Source organism: Homo sapiens, chromosome 20, assembly GCF_000001405.40.
Source record: "Homo sapiens chromosome 20, GRCh38.p14 Primary Assembly".
Classification (NCBI taxonomy): domain Eukaryota; kingdom Metazoa; phylum Chordata; class Mammalia; order Primates; family Hominidae; genus Homo; species Homo sapiens.
Genome location: NC_000020.11, coordinates 52,324,395 through 52,344,919, shown reverse-complemented (window position 1 = coordinate 52,344,919; position 20,525 = coordinate 52,324,395). Strand labels below are relative to the sequence as shown.

The 20,525-nt window shown below is 41.1% G+C and overlaps 1 long non-coding RNA gene across 3 annotated transcripts in view; it reads right to left on the bottom strand.

Moving 5' to 3' along the window:
- LOC105372666 (uncharacterized) overlaps positions 1-20,525 on the bottom strand; it is a 483,513-nt gene that overhangs the window by 349,236 nt on the left and 113,752 nt on the right. For all 3 annotated transcript variants that reach the window (XR_007067652.1, XR_001754670.2, XR_001754671.2), the window contains one exon: positions 4,268-4,430. This is a non-coding gene — a long non-coding RNA (uncharacterized LOC105372666). The remainder of the gene's footprint in view (positions 1-4,267; positions 4,431-20,525) is intronic.

Sequence of the window (20,525 nt, the reverse complement as noted above, 5' to 3'; positions counted from 1 at the left end):
TTGAATGGAACATTGAACTTCTGGTTCCCAAGCCCACCATCCCGTCTCAGCCAGTTACTTCATCTTTCCAGCTCTCAAGCAAAAATCCCTGGTGTCTTCCTTGACCCCATGTTCTCTCTCAACCTACCCTCACCCCTCCAATCCATCTGCAATCAAATCTCCCTCCAAAGTAGATTTGTAATTTAACCTCTTCTCACACAGCTGCTGCTACCTCCCATTCCATCCCCAACAGAGCTCCCTGATGCTACTCTTGACCCTTTTGGTCCATTCTTTACAGGGAACTGGTGTTTTCTGTTCAGCCATAAGTCAGATCATGCCACTCCTCTTCTCAAAGCCTCCCATGGGCCCCACAGCACACTCAGTAAAAAGTAAAGTCCTACACCACCTGCCCCATCCACTCCTCCCTGACTGCATCTCCAGCTAATCTCCCTCATGCTCCATCAGCTGACCTCTAACTGTTCCTCAAACACACAAGGCACCTTCCTTCTACCAAGAATTCTGGTCCCTCAGCTATCCACATGGGTCTCTTCATTCTGCCTTCACATCTCTGTCACCTTCCTGATGAGTTCTTCCATGACAACGCTATTTATAATTGCAGTCTCCCCAGCAGCACAGCGACCACCTGGAACTGCTAACTAAGTGAACTGGAGCAAGTCATCCCCTCACTCAGACTCTGACCCATAATACAAGAGGGAAAACAACTATATCAGAGGATTACTTCGAGGAACAAACAAGATAATGCAAGTATACTTATTCTATGAACTATAAATCTCTAAGCCAGGGGTCAGCAAATGTCTTCTGCAAAGGGCCAGATAGTAAATATTTTAGGTCTTATGAGTCGTAGGGTCTCTTTTACAACTAAATTCAGCCACTGTCACCACTGCAGCATGGAAGAAGCCATAGACAATACTTCATGAACGGACATGGCTGTGTGCCAATAAAACTTTATCAAGTGGTGGGCCAGATTTCGCCACGGGCTATATGTAGCATACAGATCCCTGCTCTAAATCATTACTTACTGTTATTATTGGTAATGATAAAAATATACATGAAGATCTTAAATGCCCAGGAATACAAAACGTACTCTGTATCAGTTGTGTGTGTGTGTGTGTGTGTGTGTGTGTGTGTGTGTGTGTGTGTATTTATAGTGTGTGTGTGTATATATATAGTTTGTTTTCTCCTGGTCGAACATAAACTCCAGGGGGAGCAGGTATCTTATTTCCTGTGTGCCTTGCATACTGTTCCAACTTTAGCACCAAAAACAGCACATAACACATAGCTGCCCTTCAGGAAATATTTCTGAAGGAATGAATGAATCCTGTATTTTATCAATGATTTTAATAGATCTTCTGGTGTATTTTTGACTACATGTAATGGTTGCCTTGCATGCTGATTTTGCAGCAGTAGCTCTCAACCAAGAGACATTCAGTCATGTCTGGAGACATGCTTGTCACAACTGGGAAGGGGTGGTGATAATGGCATCTAGTGGGTAAAGACCAGGAGTTCTCTAAACACCCTACAATGCACAGGAAAGCCCACCAAAACCAAGAATTCTCCAGCCCCAAATATCAACCATGCTGAGGTTGAGAGACCCTGCTTTGGAGCCTAATGTCCCATGAAATCCTACTCCACTGTGTGTACCAACATTTAAATGCACATACTCCATATCCATTAGAATCTGAAATTAATAAGGCATCTTCCCCCTCACATAAATAGAAGCCGTCATTAGGAAGTCCAGCATGCTAAACAGCTCATAGAATGTTCCATAATGTCTCTTGCTTAGACAGCTGAGGACCTGTCACCTCACAATCACAAGGTGGCTGCGCCCCCTTCAGTATCACATCCCCGTTCTGGGCAAGAAAAAGCTGAGGGTGAAGTGCATAAAGAATATGTCCCAGATGAGTGTGACTGCCACTGCCTCCTACCCCACCTGGAGCCTTCCTGGAAGCTATAGCCAATTACTTCACTTTTATTGGTCAAAACTATGTCTCTAACATCAAAGAAGGCTGGGAAGTATAATTTTTAAAACTAGGCATGTTGACACAGCCAACAAATTGTTGTTGTGTCAGTAAGGAGGAAAGAACACTGGACATTGTATGAGTATCTGGCATTGCTACCACATCCTTCAGTTTAGAATTATCACATCTAAGAATTTTTCACAGCACACAAAGACATGAATAGTATGAGAATGTTCATCCCAAAATGATTAATATAGAAAACTGGAAACCATCTAAATACATGTAGCTGGTGCTGATGGTGTCCCACCAAGATCTCTTTAATGAATTGGCATTCCTCCCCTTAAATAGCAGTGAGGGTTGGCTGCTAAGAGCTCAAGCCACAGCATCATCTCAAGAGGACAAGAGGATTGCCAGGATTCTTCCTCTGTCCTCTCCTGCTTCATCCACTCCCTTGATAAATCACGTTTATAAAAATGCCCATCTCAGGCAATGGTTCCAGGAAACCAGTACTTAAGACAACATACATCAATAGAAGACTGACCATTTAGATTAAAATATAAGCACAAAATAATGAATGCCAGTTAGAATTAAGCAAAGCTATTTACAACAATATTGACAAGATGTCTGAGATATTTCACTGAATGCAAGATAAAAAAGCAAGTTAAAGAACATTATGTATAATATCGCTTGATTTGTATTTAAAAAACACTATACTTCAACCTGCTTAAGTATGTGTATTTCAAAAATTTCTATAAAAATGCAAAAGAAAGTGTTAGCATTTGTTTCTTCTGGTTACTTTTCCATCTTCTATTATTCTGTATTGTTTGAATTAAGAAAAAGATATTTTTATTTTGTGACTTAAAGTTTTACTTAAATCATCTCCATTATTCAATAAGGTGAGATGTTCAGATTTTTGGTTAACATAGTATTTGCTTCCAAAAGATTTCAATGTTTAAAAAATTAAATAGAAAGCTTAGGTTCCGGCCGGGCGTGTAGGTTCACACCTGGAATCCCAGCACTTTGAGAGGCCAAGGCGGGCGGATCACGAGGTTAGCAGTTCGAGATCAGCCTGGCCAATATGGTGAAACCCCATCTCTACTAAAAATACAAAAAATTAGCCGGGCGTGGTGGCATGCGCCTGTAGTCCCAGCTACCAGGAGATTGAGGCAGAACTGCTTGAACCCGGGAGGCGGAGGGTGCAGTGAGCTGAGATCACACCACTCACTCGGGCCTGGGTGACACAGCAAGACTCCATCTCAAAAAAAGAAAAAAAAGAAAGAAAGAAAGCGTAGGTTCCAGTCCAGTTCTGCCATTTACTGAGTCAGCTTAGGCAGGTTATTCCACCTCTCAGATGCTAACTTACAAAATAAGGGTTAAAACAAATATATTAACCTACAGTGTTATATGAGGAATAAATCAAGTAATGCATACGTAGGCATTCTGTGACCTATAAATCCTCAAATGATACTTACCATTGTTATCAATAATGATACAGAAAATATATCAAGACTTTAAATGTCCACAGATACAAATTAAATAGTATTACATAGTAGGCCGCAGACATGGTTCTGTGATGCAAATAAGAAAAACTGACTGCACTCGGAATCATTTAGGAAGGCTAGAGAACAAGGCACGGACAGAGAGCTGCACAAAAGATGGCTTTCCATCCCTAACCACAGGAAAAGCACATTACAGCCTAGTCTGGTGGGGATGTGCTGTGTCCCCCATGGAGAGCACTGGAAGCTGCAGCTTGTCCGGCCAGCACCCCCAACCCTGCAGCCTGCAGGCCCTGGAGAGAGGCTGCTCCTGTAAACGATCCCTGCTGCAGTTGGCACTGCTGCCCCCAAAGACCTCAGTGCAGCTGCAGCATCGCGAAAACACAACCTCTCCCACTACTTCTTAACCAGCACTGGCTACTCGGTCTTGAATTAAAGAATGGGACTCTAGGTGGGCGCGGTGGCTCACGCCTGTAATCCCAGCACTTTAGGAGGCCGAGGCGGGCAGATCACGAGGTCAGTAGAAACCCTGTCTCTACTAAAAATACAAAAAATTAGCCGGGTGTGGTGCCGGGGGCCTGTAGTCCCAGCTACTAGGGGAGGCTGAGGCAGGAGAATGGCGTGAACCTGGGAGGCGGAGCTTGCAGTGAGCCGAGATCGCGCCACTGCACTCCAGCCTAGGCGACAGAGTTAAAAAAAAAAAAAAAAAAAAAAAAAGAATCTGACTCTATATTAAGAGGCAGGAAAATTTCTTCCAACTATTAGAAGGGGATTTAGACACCAGAAACAGCAACAACGAAAGATAAATATTACCTGTTTTATGCAGGCATAGAAGTCCTTGTACGTAGACAAAATCCAAGTCACTTTACTTATACATTCACAAATATATTTTTATAAATTGGATTCTCAGAGAAGCTGACTTGAGACAGAAATGAACATGCAGGACTTGACTAGAAAGTGCTCTCAGCATCTGCACCTATGAAGGGAGGGAAAGAGAGGATTGGAGAGAGGCAGAGCTTGGGTTGCAAGGCAGCCTCAATGAAGGATTTGTGACACTGTTATAACCAGAGGGCTGCCACATCCTGGCCATCACAGCCACAGGAAAAATCGGGAAGTTGGAGATATAAACAAAGAAGGGACAAAGGGCTTTTCCTCAACTGGCTCTTTCCTTTCCCAGGTCGTAGATTTTTTTCCCAGAAGTCCCTGGAACAGTGGGACTCACATCTCACTGGCCAGAACTGGTCACATGGCTGTCCCTAGCTGAAAGGGAGACTGGGAAAGTGAGTTTCTGGGAAAGAAGAGAGAAGCGGCCATATTTGGATTACATGAACTGGCAAAATGACAGACAAAACATGTAAGTGCCCATCCTCACTTTGCTTACAACCCTGTGAACCTCTCAGTTCACTTGCTGGGTACCAGCCATAGGGCTAAGACTTTTTACACTAAGCACCCGTCTGAGTCTTACAATGACCCCATTGTGTGGCTTTTATTATCAGGCCCATTTGACAGATGAGGAAACTGAAGTTCAGAGAAGTTATTGGTCCACAGGTCCAAAGTCACAGAATTAGTAAGCAGCAGAGATTCAATTGAAACCCAAGTCTGCATAACCCCAGGGTCTGTATTCATAGCTACTTCCCAGTAATGCTTCCCAGCAGGTAGCTATCTAATTATGGTGGCTGTGAGGAAGGAATGAGATCATCTTTGTAAGGAACTTAATATAGTACCTGGTACTGAATATACAGGAACAACGAGGAGAAAGTACCTGACAGACTTTAATGAGATTTCAGCCAGTAAACTCTCAGCTACCCAAATGTGGCTATTTGCTGAAAACTTCTAGTACTAGAAAAACTTCTGTACTAGAAATGTGGGAAAGGGACATTCAAGGGATCTGAGAGATGAGGAAGATTTCCTGGAAGTCTGGCACCTGAGTTGGACCTTGCATGGCAAAGAAAAGCAGACAGAAAGCCTTGCTTCTTCTCTGAACCTGCTGTGGATACAAAGAAAACTAAAGTGAAATTAAAATGTTTGACCAAAATTATCCAGTGCCTCACCACTCCATGAGTGCTCCACAAGTCAGTACCATGAGCACCCTCCCAGAGCTTATTAGGAATGCAGAATCTCAGGTCCTGTTCCAGACTTACTAAATCAGAGTTTCTTTTCAACAAGGTCCCCAGGTGATCTGGATGCATTTAAAAGCTTAAGGAGCACTGTTCCAGAGGGCTCACTGAGAGCACAGGCTGAGGATAAGCAGAACACCAACTTTGAGACTAACCCAGTCTGTAATGGAACTGGACATCATAAGCCAGTCACTGTGCTTTAGATAGATTCTCTTATTTAGTCACCGTGGGCTGTCAGCAACTTTATGGCTTACCACTACTATTATTGGCAGATGAAAAACCTCATCTGATTTAGTAACTTGACCAATTTCACATAACTAATAACTTGGCAGAAACACAACTTGATTCTAGAAGTATCATTCTTTTCCACTACAAAACATCCCCTAATTATGGCGGCTGTAAGGAAAGAATGAGATCATCTGTGTAAAGAACTTAATACAGTGCCTGGTACTTAACATACGTGAACAATGAGGAGAAATCATCTGACTTTAATGAGATTTGAGCCAGTAAACTCTCAATTACCTAAATGTGGCTATCTCTTGAAAACTTCTAATGCCAGCTTCTACCAACAAGCAGAACACATTTCAACAACTTTCTTCTTCCATCAGCCCATGTTTTACCAAATGAAAATAATTCTTATTACTAGCCTAAACAAAATATAATTAGAAAGGTGAATCTGTAGCCCTGAGTCAAAAATGGGCCAAAGAAGTTTTACATAAACGATTTTGGGTTTTCCACTGTTTCGAATTATCCATGTCACTGCTTCCCTTATTGGCACTCATAACCGAGTGTTAACTATATTACATGCAATTAAATTCAAAATATTTGTGCAGCAATTATATGGATTCATCAAACCTAATGGTGCAGTCACGATGTCGTGTGTACTCATCAGCAGTACTCAAAAAAATTGGCATATAGAAATATATTCCCACTAGCTGATAAATATAAAACAAATATTGTGTCTAGTGCCATCATATTAGCTGGTATCTATCAATAGTAAACAAATTAGGAGATTCTAACAATATTGATCCTACCATCAGTACTTTTTTGCATTCTTCATTAGAGAGCTGATATATCCAGAAGGCATTTGTTCAGCAATCAATCACTAAGCCATACTTGTGTTTACTCTATTTTTTATTCACTTATTTATTTTCTGTCTTCTTTTGAGATCCTCTCAGCTTCTCATTTTCGGTTACCCAGTATATGAACCCCTTGTAGCAGACACTGGTGATGCCCACCCCTGATTCTCGTGGCCCACCTCCACATTTTCCAGGAATCAACGTGGACATTCTCCACCCACACTGACGCTTCCCACCTCCAGCTTTCATGACTCTTTCTCTAACCAGGGGCTCCTCTGGTGCCGAGCTTGCTCGGCCGGGGATGTAAGGCCTCTATGAACAAACCTCAACCAATGAAGAATGAGAGTTGGAGGATACATATTCTAGCTTTCCCACTAAAAAGCCAGTGGGTCAGTTCTGAAGTGAGTCCTACATGATGCTTCAGAGGCTCCTCAGTGGAATGGAGCCCCGGATGCCCACAACGGAAAGCCACTCACTAATGCATCTTTCATTGACTTTCCTTCCTTTTGTGTCTCATTTTGCCCACTCCTCCATTCAGTGCTTTCTGGGATCATCTTCCAACACGCTCCCTATACCCAAAGCCTTGACACATGATCTGCTTTTGGGAGAAACCCAACCAACCAACCAACACAGCCCCCTGTTAAGGACCTGACCCCTTTAAGTAATGCAGTGGGGTCAGAGAAAAACTGTCACTGTAGAGGTTTTATTCTCACTTTCCTGGACTCCCTTGTGGTTAGAACACATAACATATGATATAGGAGTTAAGAAAGAATTACTTAAGCAGTTAGTAAGGGTATGAGAGTCCTCCATAAGGCTTTTCTTTTTTCAATGAAAAGCAGCCCTAAATCATTTTCTTTTTTTCTTTTTTCTTTTTTTTTTTGAGATGGAATTTTGCTCGTCACCCAGGCTGGAGTGCAATGGCACGATCTTGGCTCACTGAAGCCTCTGCCTCCTGGGTTCAAGCGATTCTCCTACCTCAGCCTGCTGAGTAGCTGGGATTACAGGCGTCCACCACCACCCGGCTAATTTTTTTGTATTTTTAGTAGAGACGGGGTTTCACCATGTCGGTCAGGCTGGTCTCAAACTCCCGACCTCAGATGATCCACTCGCCTTGACCTCCCAAAGTGCTGGGATTACAGGCATGAGCCGCTGCACGTGGCCCCACAAATAATGACTTCTAACAAAGAGCAGCCCATAAAGTTGAGCTGCAGACACAGACAAGAAAGCTGGGAGCTTGCACGGGTGAATGCCGGCAGGAACCAAGGACTAGACATTTTCAAGATGGTGGCTCCATCTTCCCTTCTCTGCCAGCCACATGTACTGTAAGGAGCGGACAAGATGGTGTGGATCAACTGGAAAGCCCATTTGCATAATAAGATAGGGTGGAACGACCAGCCTTCCCCACGTGCTATGTAAACCTCATACCTGATGGAACCAATCTATGAGCTCTATGTAAATCAGACACCACCTCCCCAAACTGGACTATAAAATTCGGCACATTTGCCACCAGCCGGTCCTTTCTGCTGGGAGATCCCTTTGTCTATAGAGGAAGCTGTTCCTCTTTCTCTTCTCTTCTACATATTAAAACTCCGCTCCTGAACTCCTTGTGTGTGTCAATGTCCTAAATTTTCCTGGCACATGACCACGAACCCCAGAGTATATACCCCAGACAACGGAGCCACTTCAATAGGCTCCAACAATCAAGCGAATCTTGGAGAGTTTACAACACAAAAAAGCAGAGCTTGTGCACAACCTACTGTGGCAAAGGTACCGGCAGTGGGGCCAGAACTACATCCAGTTTGTACAAATGGTGGTGTCAGTGATGGTAGCTGGAGTTGCTGTTTCCAGTGAGGCCGGTATCCCTGGCCCAGGCAGCAGCATTAGGACCCAGCAATGATGACAGCAGTGTCTTCATGACACCAGTTCCTTCTACAGATCAGTTTTGACCCTTTTCCTGGTTTCTCTGATTCCCTGGCCCTTTTGTAGATCCTCTAATTAATTCCTTCTCTGTTTAAATAAGCCAGAGTTCATTTTCTATGGCTTGAAACTAAAAGGGCCAACTTATATAATGTGTTACAGTCTCCTTATATATCTAAATAACAGGGATATTGATTATGAGACTGTCTGTCAGAGGCACATGTTGAAGACAACCTAAATATCCATCAGTAGGAGTCTGATCAGTGATGAACTATCAAGTCAACAGCTAAGAACAATATAGCTCTGAATGTGAATATGTGCAATTATTCCAAGATTAAGTTTTTAAAAAGCAAAACCATATAAATGGTTTGCTACTGTTTCTGTTTTAAACATATACACATGTAGATATATATGTGTATACATGTATATGAATTATAGTTAGATATATATATACACACACACACACACACATATATAAAAGAGTACCATATGCTTGCACAAGCAATAAATGTCTCCAGAAGGGTCTGGTAACAGGGTTCCCCCGGAGAGGAGAACAAGTATCCTAAAAATCAGATGTGAGACCAAGTCTTATATTTCCCTATATATTCATTTAAATCTTTTCAGTTTATACTTATGAACATGTCATCTATTCAAAAATAAATAAAATTTAGATGTAAATGTGTAAAAGAACTTTGAAATTTGAAGGAAAAAAAAAAGAACAGTGATACGGTTTGGCTGTGTCCCCACCCAAATCTCATCTTGAATTCCCACATGTTGTGGGAGGGACCCAGTGGGAGGTAATTGAATCATGGGGGCAAGTCTTTCCCATGCTGTTCTCCTGATAGTGAATAAGTCTCATGAGATCTGATGGTTTTAAAAAAAAGGAGTTCCCCTGCACAAGCTCTCTCTCTCTGTTTGCCTGTCACCATCCATGTAAGACGTGACTTACTCCTCCTTGCCTTCCGCCATGATTGAGAGGCCACTCCAGCCATGTGGAACTGTAAGTCCATTAAACTTCTTTCTTTTGTAAATTGCACAGTTTCAAGTATGTCTTTATCAGCAACATGAAAATGGACTGATACAAACGGATTCCCAGACCCTGACACACTCAGTCTATGGTGAGATCAAGACTGTATTTTCAGCAAATAGCACAACTGGCTCTGATGCCAAGGCATGCTTTGGAAACCTGGTATAGATTCTCATAGATCAGGCATGTTTTGTGCATTGTGCTGCTCCCATATTGTCCTGATCTCTGCACTGAGCCCAAATTAATATTGTATTTTTAAAGTCAATATTTAAAAAAAGAGAGAGAGAGTTCATCCTGGGAAGAGACACACTCACTGGCATCCTAAGATTTCACCAGATGTGCAAAGGGAAGCATCAATATATTGACACCAGCAGTTTCCTAGACTGGTACTAACTGCCCAAAGGGCAAAGTTTCTTATTTTTACCACCTTTCCTGTGTTTCCTGGAATATTAATTGGAGACAATCATATATGCTCATGATGTGTTTTTTATTTCTACATCAGCTCACACACAGGCACACACGCGCACACACACTACTTTTAGTTCTCATAACCCAGTGTTTTCCACTGGAGTATATTTTGGCCATGAGGACAAAGATCACTCTTGGAAAGTTGAAAGGTCGCTATTCTCATTGAATATTAGTGTGGCTCCTTTCTCAGCTCAAATGCCCTCTGCACTATCCCAACTTTTGTCTCTTTCTTACTTTTTTACTTTATTTCTCTGGGCTTCATGCCAAAGATGTAAAGAGGTGACCCACCTTATCAATCTATTAAAATCTTTTAAAACCTCTGCCATTTCAAACCAGTTGATTTTTATGTGGCATCTCCCATAAAAAATCATCTCAAAATACTTTGTTGAGAAGAAAGCAAAGTTATGATAAAATGGTTTAAGCATTTTAAAATTTCTTGGAGGTGAGGATCAAGAGTTAAGCACATTTCAATAATTTCCTGTAAGTTCACAGCTCTTAATGTAAGAGTTTTATTACTTAGCAATTCCTGTTTTAGAGAACCGTGACTGTCAAAAACTTACACCTAGGACCAGATTATTCAGAGTGTGAGAAAAGTATAAGAACTGGATTCAGGAAGCACAACTGCTTCTGCTCTAGACCTGCAACCCACTGCGTTAAGCCAGGGTCCTGTTCAGCTCCCCGCCGCGCATTTCTGTCCTGTTCATTCGTCTCTGGTCCTCTCAGGGGCATTTAACTCTGTCGATAGTTCCTCTCTTATCTCTTCCCTGCTCTGGCCTCTGTGGCTCCAACCTCTACAACTTCTCCTCCTAACATTCTGGTCATTTCTTTCACCTCATTTTTTCTAGAATCTTCCACCTGTCCCTCAGATGTCCCTCAGGCTTGGTTTTGAGGAATTTGTGGAGATCTAACTTGACACCAATGCTGTCCCTGATTCTCTGCACTCTCCTTCTTGCTCCTGCATCTTCTTTCCCCCAGTGAAGCCTTCCACTCTGCTGACGAGCATACTCTTAGTGAACTACTCTTTTTTTGTTCTCAAAACATTCATCGCTCAGCATCCCTTCTCCCTTATTTTGGTATTTTCTCCCAAGATCTCTTTTGGAAAAAAAAGCCTCCCTCTTCTGTGATCTATGTGTTTTAAGTGAGGTTTACCCCAGGTCCAGGTTACAGAGGTGGGCACAGGATTCTGGTTGGTCCAACCAGAGCTTTGCATTCCCGTGGACATCGTGATTGGTTCAAGGATGAGCATGTGGTCCAAGCTAAGCCAATATATGTAAATTTTGGAATTTTCCACTGGAGTTGCTAAGCTGGTAAAACATCAGTCTAGAGCAGACATCAAGCAAGCTTTTTCTGTAAATGGCATAAGTGAAAATATTTGAGTCTTTCTGGGTTGTAAGCTCTGTATTGCAACTACTCCATTCATGAAAGTAGCCATAGACAATATGTAGCAAATGGGCATGGCTGTGCTCCAGTAAAACTTTATTCTCAGGAACAGGCAGCCTGCATTTGGCCTTAAAATCATAGTTTTCTTATTCCTTGTCTAGAGTTTCTGGTAACAGTCTTTACCATCTCATGAGAAGAACCTATCTGAGAGTGATAGTCTGAATAATGGCCCTCCAAAAGATATGCACATCCCAATCACTGAAACCTGTAAATATTACCTTATATGGTACAAAGGAACTTTGTGGATATGATTAAGTATCTTGGCTGAGATGGAGAGACAGAGAGAAATTTGACACATACAGAGAAGGAGAAAGCAATGCATATAGAAAAGGAGAAGGCAGAGATTGGAGTGAGTGGCCACAAGCCAAGAAATGCTGCCAACCACCAGAAGCTGGAAGAGGCGAGGAATTAAATTTCCCCCAGAGCCTCCTGAGGGAGCGCAGCCCAGCCAACACCTTGATTTTGGCCCAGTGATACTAATTTCAGATATCCCACCTCCAAAACTGTGAGCAAATAAATTTCCATGGCTTTAAACCACAAAGTTTATGGTATTTTGTTACAGCATCATAGGAAAACAGTACAATCAGCAAAAACTTAAAATCTGATTTTTACTTAAAGTAGTTTAAATTGGGTTTATGTCATTTTCAACCAAGTGATTCTTATTCAATATTCAAATCTTCCTTATGAGAACATCCTTTCTTCATGTCAGCTTCTGGTCAAGCTGCTCTTTCTTTACACAGCCAGATTTTTTGAAAGAACAGATTACAATAAGCCCATAGCTCCTTATCTGAAATTCTAAGAACCAGGTATCTTTTGAATTCAGGTTTTAAAAAGATCTGAAGTTATGGTAGACTGCATCTGTTATATAAAATATTCACTGCCCTCCCTAGGTTGGCCCTCCCTGCAGGAGGAATATACGTCTTCATTCTATTGAGCTCCAATGGTCATGTGACTTGGCTTGCCATGTGAAGGGTTAGCAATAGTGACATGTGCCACTTCCAAGAAGCTCTGAGAGCCAGCATGTGTTTGCATCACATTCTCACTTCCCTCTGGCATAATATTGGCAATATCCCAGGTAATGGAGGCTCCACCAGCCTGGGTCCTTAATAAAAATGTCAGGAAGCAAAGTCCCAAGTGACCCACAATGGGCATGTAACATTGCATAAGCCCCTGCTATTTGGGGCTTGTTTGTTACTGCAACATAAGCTACCCTATCCGGATCTATACGTGAGCATCTACTGCATATTATGTAATACCCCAGGATGCCCAAGACACCACCCTAAAACAAATCACATTAGTACTTTCAAGAGCATGTAAATACCTGCATGAAAGGGGGTGGATTAAAAAATGTAAATAGCCTCATATTAGTTCAGAGATTTGGGGGGTTTACGAGTTTGGGATTTCAGGCTCTATTTGCTCTATCATGTCTTCACCCACTCATCTACCATTTCCAGTTGTCTTTCATCCCTATCACTCTACTGCACCTACTCTCTCACAACCACTGAGTTTCTTACTCCCAATTCCTTCACTTTGTTTTAACTCTAAACCTCCCTAAGCCCAAACCAGTAGAGCCACTAACATTCGATGCTACCATTCACTACTTCTTCAAAACCTTTCCCTCCTCTGACTTCAATGACCCCATGCAACCCATATTGTCTGTCTTTTCCATCCCTTTTCCATCTAATTACCTAACTGATTTCTCTTTTCTCCTCATTACCCAAGCATTGCTACAGAGTTGATTGTCAATTCTTACCTATCCTCTTCTTTTCCTATTGCTTTACCCCAGGCAATCGTTTCATCCCCCAAGGCTTCAACTCTCACTTCTACATGGATGGCTTCCAAATAAATATTTCCAGACCATATCAACAGCTCCAGACATAACCTTTTTCCTGAGTTTTACGTCATGCATGGATAAGGGTAATATTCTTCCTACCCTAGCATATAAGTAAACAAACAAGTATCTCTTGAGCGTCAGGTGGCTACCGATATACCATTTCAGTAATACTCATTAGAGGGGCAAATCTCTTAGGATACTAAGTTTAAATCATAGAGGAAATGATTTGAAATAACACATTCAATATTATGGGTTTATATTTGAAAACCTCTTTAGGTGAGATTTGGTTTGGTTTTGCTTCCTGATACAAATCGCAAAAAATAAAGCTTAATAACATCTTCCTACATTGGTCTTAGTTTGGGATCCCCCTGAAGTATACTTTGAGACAAGGATTAGAGAGCAAGTAGTTCATTTTGTACGTAATCCCCAAAAATACAACCAGGGGAATGGAGAAGTGAGACCCAGGATGGAAGGCAGCCAATATAAGGTTTGTTATTAATGCTGTTTCCATTTTGGGTACTTGGAGATCAATTCTTCTCAGAAGCTCTGGCATTCAGTGCAAAACATGCCTCAGAGTTATCCCACCCAAGGGATCAAGGAGAAGAGTTATTTATATGCCAAAGACTCCCATTGGTCATTGATTAATGGCTAATCCCAGGGATATTAATTTCCCAGTATTTCTGGCTTGCTTTGCAGGTGATAAAGCAGGCTCTGGCTGCAAGAGAAAGTCATTTGGCAAAACAATGCAAACCTTGGAGGTTGAATTTGGGCCAGCATGCAATGAATTGGTGATGGCTCAGGATAGAGGCAGGACATTGGGAACACCTACTGCAGCTCGTAAGACTTAATGGACATTGCCATGCTTTCTTGCCTGCCCTAAATATGAACCTTCTTTCATATGCTCAGGTAAATTCCTGGTTATGAGTCTTGATGGGAGGTCATGGCCATTTATAACTATGGAGACAAAAATCCAGCTGCTCACATCAAAAGTTACCCTTGCAACTAGGATGCAGGCATGTGACCCATCTTCAGCCAATCAAAATCATCCAGGCCATATTTAAATAGGGAACTATTGGTATTCCATAGCAGGAGTCTGTTCTGGTGAGGTTGTCTAGGTTGCTGTAAGTAGTCAACAAATGTCTGCTGTTATTATGATTAAAGGAATATTTCCAAATATTTTCTTAAAATATGGGACCTTTCCCTTTGACAAAAAAAAAAAAATCCTATGCCCTAAAAAATGTTATTTGATCTTCAAGAAGAAATAAAGTATCATTGTGGAAAATAAACCAAAGCAATGGAATAAAGCACTGCACTGTTGGTAAACATGCCCAGCCCAATCTCCCCACATGTGCTGATGTGCCCACCTTGGACACCTTCCCCTCACTGAAAAACAGAAGTGTTTGAAAATTTATTACACTGACTACAACATCTAGCTGAGATTCACCTTGTTCTAGATCCTGCTCAGTGCTGGGAGTAACAAGATGAAAGACAAATTGCCCACCCTTAAGAAGAAGAAGATTAGGTAGGGAGAGACACTGGTAGAGTAAAAATTACTAATGCATAACCACAAAGATATTTTAAGAGGGCAATGAGAATGCCAAGGTAGGTGCCTAAAAGAGACAAGGTCACCCAATGCTAGTTGCTTAACCTGTATTTTGAAGTTCAAGTAGGATTTTTCAGAAAGAGAGAGAGTACAGAAACATATACCAAAGAAAGGAAATGGCATGGGCAAAGGCAAGGAGATTTAAGATTCTGTGAGAACTTTGGGTAGAACCAGGGCAGAAAACTCCAGTTAGCCACTGCATGCATTCCATGCTAGACAAATCCTATCAAGGCTTCCATTTTCCAGAAATAGAGGAAGAAAAGGAAGGAAAAAACCATTGAATGAACAAACAAAGGAAAAAAGGAAGGATTGATTTTTCAGAGAATAAAATCAAGGCTGTTGCTTGCTGTCCTCTTTTGAACAAACATTATTAAATACAGGCATACCTCAAATATATAGCAGGTTTCATTTCAGACCATTGCGATAAGGTGCATATTGCCATAATGCAAATCACATTAATTGTTTGGTTTTCCAGTGCATATATAAAATTTATGTTTACACTATACTGTAGTCTGAGTGTGCAATAGCATTAGGTCTGAAAAAGGAATGTACATACTTTAATTTTAAAATACTTCAATCCTAAAAAACGCTAGTGATCATCTGAGCCTTCAGTGAGTCATAATCTTTTTGCTGATGGAGGGTCTTGCCTTGATATTGATGGCTGTTGACTGATTAGGGTGATAGTTGCTGAAGGCTGGGGTGGCTGCGGCATTTTTACTTTACTATTCTTAAAATAAGACAACAATGAAGTGTGCCTCATCAACTGACTCTTCCTTTCATGAAAGATTTCTCTATAGCATGCAATGCTATCTGACAGTATTTTACCCACAGTAGAATTTCTTTCATTATTGGAATCAATCCTCTCAAACCCTCCTGCTGCTTTCTCACTAAGTTTATGTAATATTTAAAACCTTTTTTGTCATTTCATCAATGTTCATGGCATCTTCACCAGGAATAGATTCCATCTCAAGAAACCACTTTCTTTGCTCCGCCATAAGGAGCAAGTCCTATCTGTTCAAGTTTTCTCATGAGATTGCAGCAATTCAGTCACATCTTCAGGCTCCACTAATTCTGTTTGGTTTGCCACTTCCACCATGTCTGACGTAATTTCCTCCACTGAAGTCTTACACTCCTCTAAGTCATCCCTAAGGGTTGGAATCAACGTCTTCCTAACTCCTGTTACTGTTGATATTTTGACCTCCTCCCATAAATCATGAATGTTCTTCATGGCATCTAGAATGGTGAATGCTTTCCAGAAGGTTTTCTATGTACTTTGCCTCAATCCATCAAAGGAATGACTATCTATAGAGCTATAGCCTTATAAAATGTACTTCTGAAATAATAAGACTTAAATGTCAAAATTACTCCTTTACCCAGGGGCTACAGAACGGCTGTTCGGTCAGCTGGCATGAAAACAGCATTCATCTCCTTGTACATCTCCATCAGAAGTCTTGGATGACCAGTTGCATTGTCAATAAGCAGTAACATTTTGAAAGGAATCTTTTTTTTTCTGAGCAGTAGTTCCCAACAGTGGGCTTAAAATAATCAGTAAACCATCCGGTAAACAGAGATGCTGTCACCCAGGCTTTACCGCTACATTTCTAGAGCACAGGCAGAGTAGGCTTACATCATTCTTAAGGGCCTTACAATTTTCACAATGGTAAAGGAGGACTGGCTTCAAATTTAAGTAACCAACTGCATTAGCTGCTAACAAGAGAGTCAGCCTGCCTTCAGAAGCTTTGAAGCAAGGCATTGACTTGTCTCTAGCTACAAAAGTCCTAAATGGCATCTTCTTCCACCTTAACACTGTTTTGTCTACATTAAATATCCATTATTTAGTGTAGCCTCCTTCATCAATGATTTTAGCTAGATCTGGATAAGTTGCTGCAGCTTCATCAGCACCTGCTGCTTCACCTTGCATTTTTATGTTATGGAGATGGCTTCTTTCTTTAAACTTCATGAACCAACCTCTACTAGCTTCCAACTTTTCTTCTGCCCTTTCCTCACTTCTCTCAGCTTTCATGGAATTGAAGAGAGTTGAGCCTTGCTCTGGATTAGGCAGATTAGGCTTTACTTAAGGGAATGTTGTGGTTGGTTTGATCTTCTATCTAGACCACTAAAACTTTCTCTATATCAGCGGTGAGGCTCTCTAGCTTCTTATCATTTGTGTGTTCACTGGAGTCATACTTTTGATTTTCTTCAAGAAGTTTTCCTTTGCATTCACAACTTGGCTAACTGTTTGGCACAAGAGGCATGGCTTTCCGCCTGTCTCGGCTATCGACATGCCTCCCTCACTAAGCGTCATCATGTCTAGCTTTTGATTTAGTGAGAAACCTGTGACTCTTTCTTTCACTTAAACATTTAAGAGGCCATTGTAGGGTTATTAACTGGCTTAATTTCAATACTGTTGTGTCTCTGGGAATAGGGAGGCCCAAGGAAAGGGAAAGAGGTGGGAGAAAGGCTGGCGAGTGGAACAGTCAGAACACACACAACACTTATCCATTACATTTGCCATCTTATATGGGTACAGCTTGTGATGCACCAAAACAATTATAGTTGTAACATCAAAGATCACTGATCACAGATCACAGTAACAAATAAAGAAAAAGCTTGAATTATTCCAAGAATTGCCAAAATATGACACAGAGATATGAACAAATGTTATTAGAAAAAATGCCAATAGACCTGCATGATGCAGCATTGCCACAAACCTTCATTTGTAAAAAATGTGATATCTACAAAGTGCAATAAAGCCAAGTACCATAAAATGAGGTAGGCCTGTGCTAAAAACTGTCGCTACATGTGCAGCACGTAATGTTTAAGTGTTAGTTATTATTAAAGGGATTAGGTAACAATTTATGTATTATAGATGTGTAGTCCATGTATCGTATTTGCAACATTGCTGGTCCCATTACTTTAAAATACATACATACAACTGTCTTTGAAAGTTTTACTTTTATCCAACTTCATGGAAAAATTTTATTTTGGTCTTCACATATGTCACCAATACAAGAAATGCTAATTATTCATTTCTCTTTTTAATTTAAATCAAATCAACATGCCTTATTGAATACTGGTTATAGTACACCACTTAGTATTGAGAAACTAAATTTATTCTTGTCTCTTTGCAATTACTACTATATTTTTGTCATGAAATACATTTGGGAGACAAAAGAAGGAATTTTATCCAATTTCTTATCATGTAGGTAAATAATAAATAATTTTTAACTCTGAAAGGCACAATATTGGTCAGCAAACAGAGCACACATATGACTTTGTTTTTTAATACATTCTGTTTGGAGTCTACTTTAGGATCTAAAATTCAGATGGGATACTAGTTTTAAAATCAAATAAAAGATTAATGCTTATTTACCTATAGCCCTTCTTCTGCAACTTTAACAAAATCATTCTTCTCCTTCCAGGTCTGTAAGACAATTTATCTGGATGAGACTCTAATTCAAACTCCTACATAATTTTGGATTTTTTTTTTTTTTTGGCAAGTGGAAAACCCAGATGTTAAGGGACTAAGAGGTGTATTTGGAAGATGTGAAATGGATGATTCAGATGTCAAACACACATCTATATTATTTCTACTCTATGGACACAATGCTAGAAACCCTTTGAAATATAAGATTATCTGGGCTTACTATAGTGTAAAGAGATGAAATGATAAAATGTGGGGCTTATTGGGCCTAGAAATCTCTAAAATCAATGGTGACTTTAAGAAGGGGATCCTTTTGCATGGTTTTACATTGACTTTCATCTTCCTAGAAGGCGGCTTCATGATACTTTCTAAATTGAAGGTGCACTGGTTGGCCAGGTACAAGATGCAAACATAGTGAAGTGGCAACTTACACAGGAGTTGAGCTCTAAAGGCGGCACATGAAGTGCAATTTACAAATGGCCAAAATTATCTTTTTAGAGTGTCATGTCAACTACTCACAACCCATCTCCCAGTAAACCCATCACAGACCATTTTTCCTACAATATTGAAACAGATGGTTGCTTTTCAAGTTCACATTATAGCTTACTTACATTTAAGGACCATGTTAGAAGACCAATATACCTCTTTCAGTGTTAGAACCGCAGCAGATAGGGGGAACTGCTCAGTCTTTGGGTGAAATGCAGGAACAAAGACCAACTGAAGAAACAGCAAATTCTCATTTCCCATCCTACATTCCCTCTGGAGCACAGAGTTAAATAGACTGGGGAGTGTATTCACTAGCTTTATTAAATTGTTTCTCTTGTTCTCCTTTGCTTTATATATGCTTAATTGATAGACATTAAAAGTACATGTGATGGACTCGACTAGTCCCTATCTAAGACAACTATGTGATTAAAAGCATACCAAATGCACTAGCAGCATGAGTGCATTTAAGGCCACATTCAACTGCTACACTCTGGCAAGGCGATGCCAGTGGTTCATTTCCAGCATGTGTTCTGGCAGCCTGGGTTTCTCTCCTGACTGGCTGGTGCTTGTGGTTTAACAGTTTTAATATCCCTCATTGGACACAATTTCCTAAATCCAAGGATACAAAAAAAAAAGTACATTAACAGAGTTTTTAGGAAAAGTCTAGATGTTTCAGCCTAACCAGGATGCAAACTTTTGAAACCTAAGGGAGTCAAGATTTCCAAGAACAAAAAGTTTTCTCCTGTCTCTCCATGCCATCAAGATGTGGTCAAGTGGGCTCATTTTTTCCAGTTCTCCCACCTGCCCTCCCTACTCCCCAGAAAAAACAGCTTCTATGGGTACCTCCTGCCGATCATGTGGGCCTCGTGGCATAGCCTGATGTGATGGTGGGAGGGGAGATACCTGTCATATGCCTCTAATGGGCTCCTCTGTCAAGAAACTCAGCACAGACACCCCCATTTAAGGCAGCAGGTCGCCCTCCTCTTGCATGGAAAACTCAAGTCTCCCTCTTGGCAGCCACACAAAGGCAGCTCAAGAGGAAAAAGTAAGAGAGAAGGGAACTCAAAAGGTTAAAAAAAAAGGCTGGAGTAACATGAGAGAATAGATAGAAAGAGGTAGAATACAGGAAAAACTTCCCAGTTACCTCCCAACCAGTCACATCAAATTTGGCAGGAAAACAATGGGTCATCCCAATGGCTTTGCCAATGAAGAGCACATTTCACCCATTCATCCCTAGGTTCTGAGAGCCAGATCAGTCCCTCTTTCTCCGTGGTCATGCAGAGGTTTTGCAGTTTCCTGAATGTCACATACCTGTGCCAGGAGAGCGAGGTACACGATTTGGTCTCCAACTTCAACCTGAGCGTGGGGGAGGAGGTAGGAGAGTGTCCTTTATCATATTCAATAGGCTTCTGGTAGAACAGCAATCTTGTTTACTTGTTCTTGCTAATAAGAAATTATTAGCTGGCTTCCAGAGAGAGGGTACACGTGTAGTGCCTCAGCATCTGTCGTGCTGTCTGCATCCCACGGCTGTATTTATTGAGAATCTAGGAACCAGTACCAGGAGTACAGAATATATGCAAACTCCAGGTAAGTTCTCTCCCCTAACCACCAATATCAATCCGTGTGCTCTTCTCTTTGCTAACCAGATAGGCTGTGGGCAGCCTGCAGTGAGGACT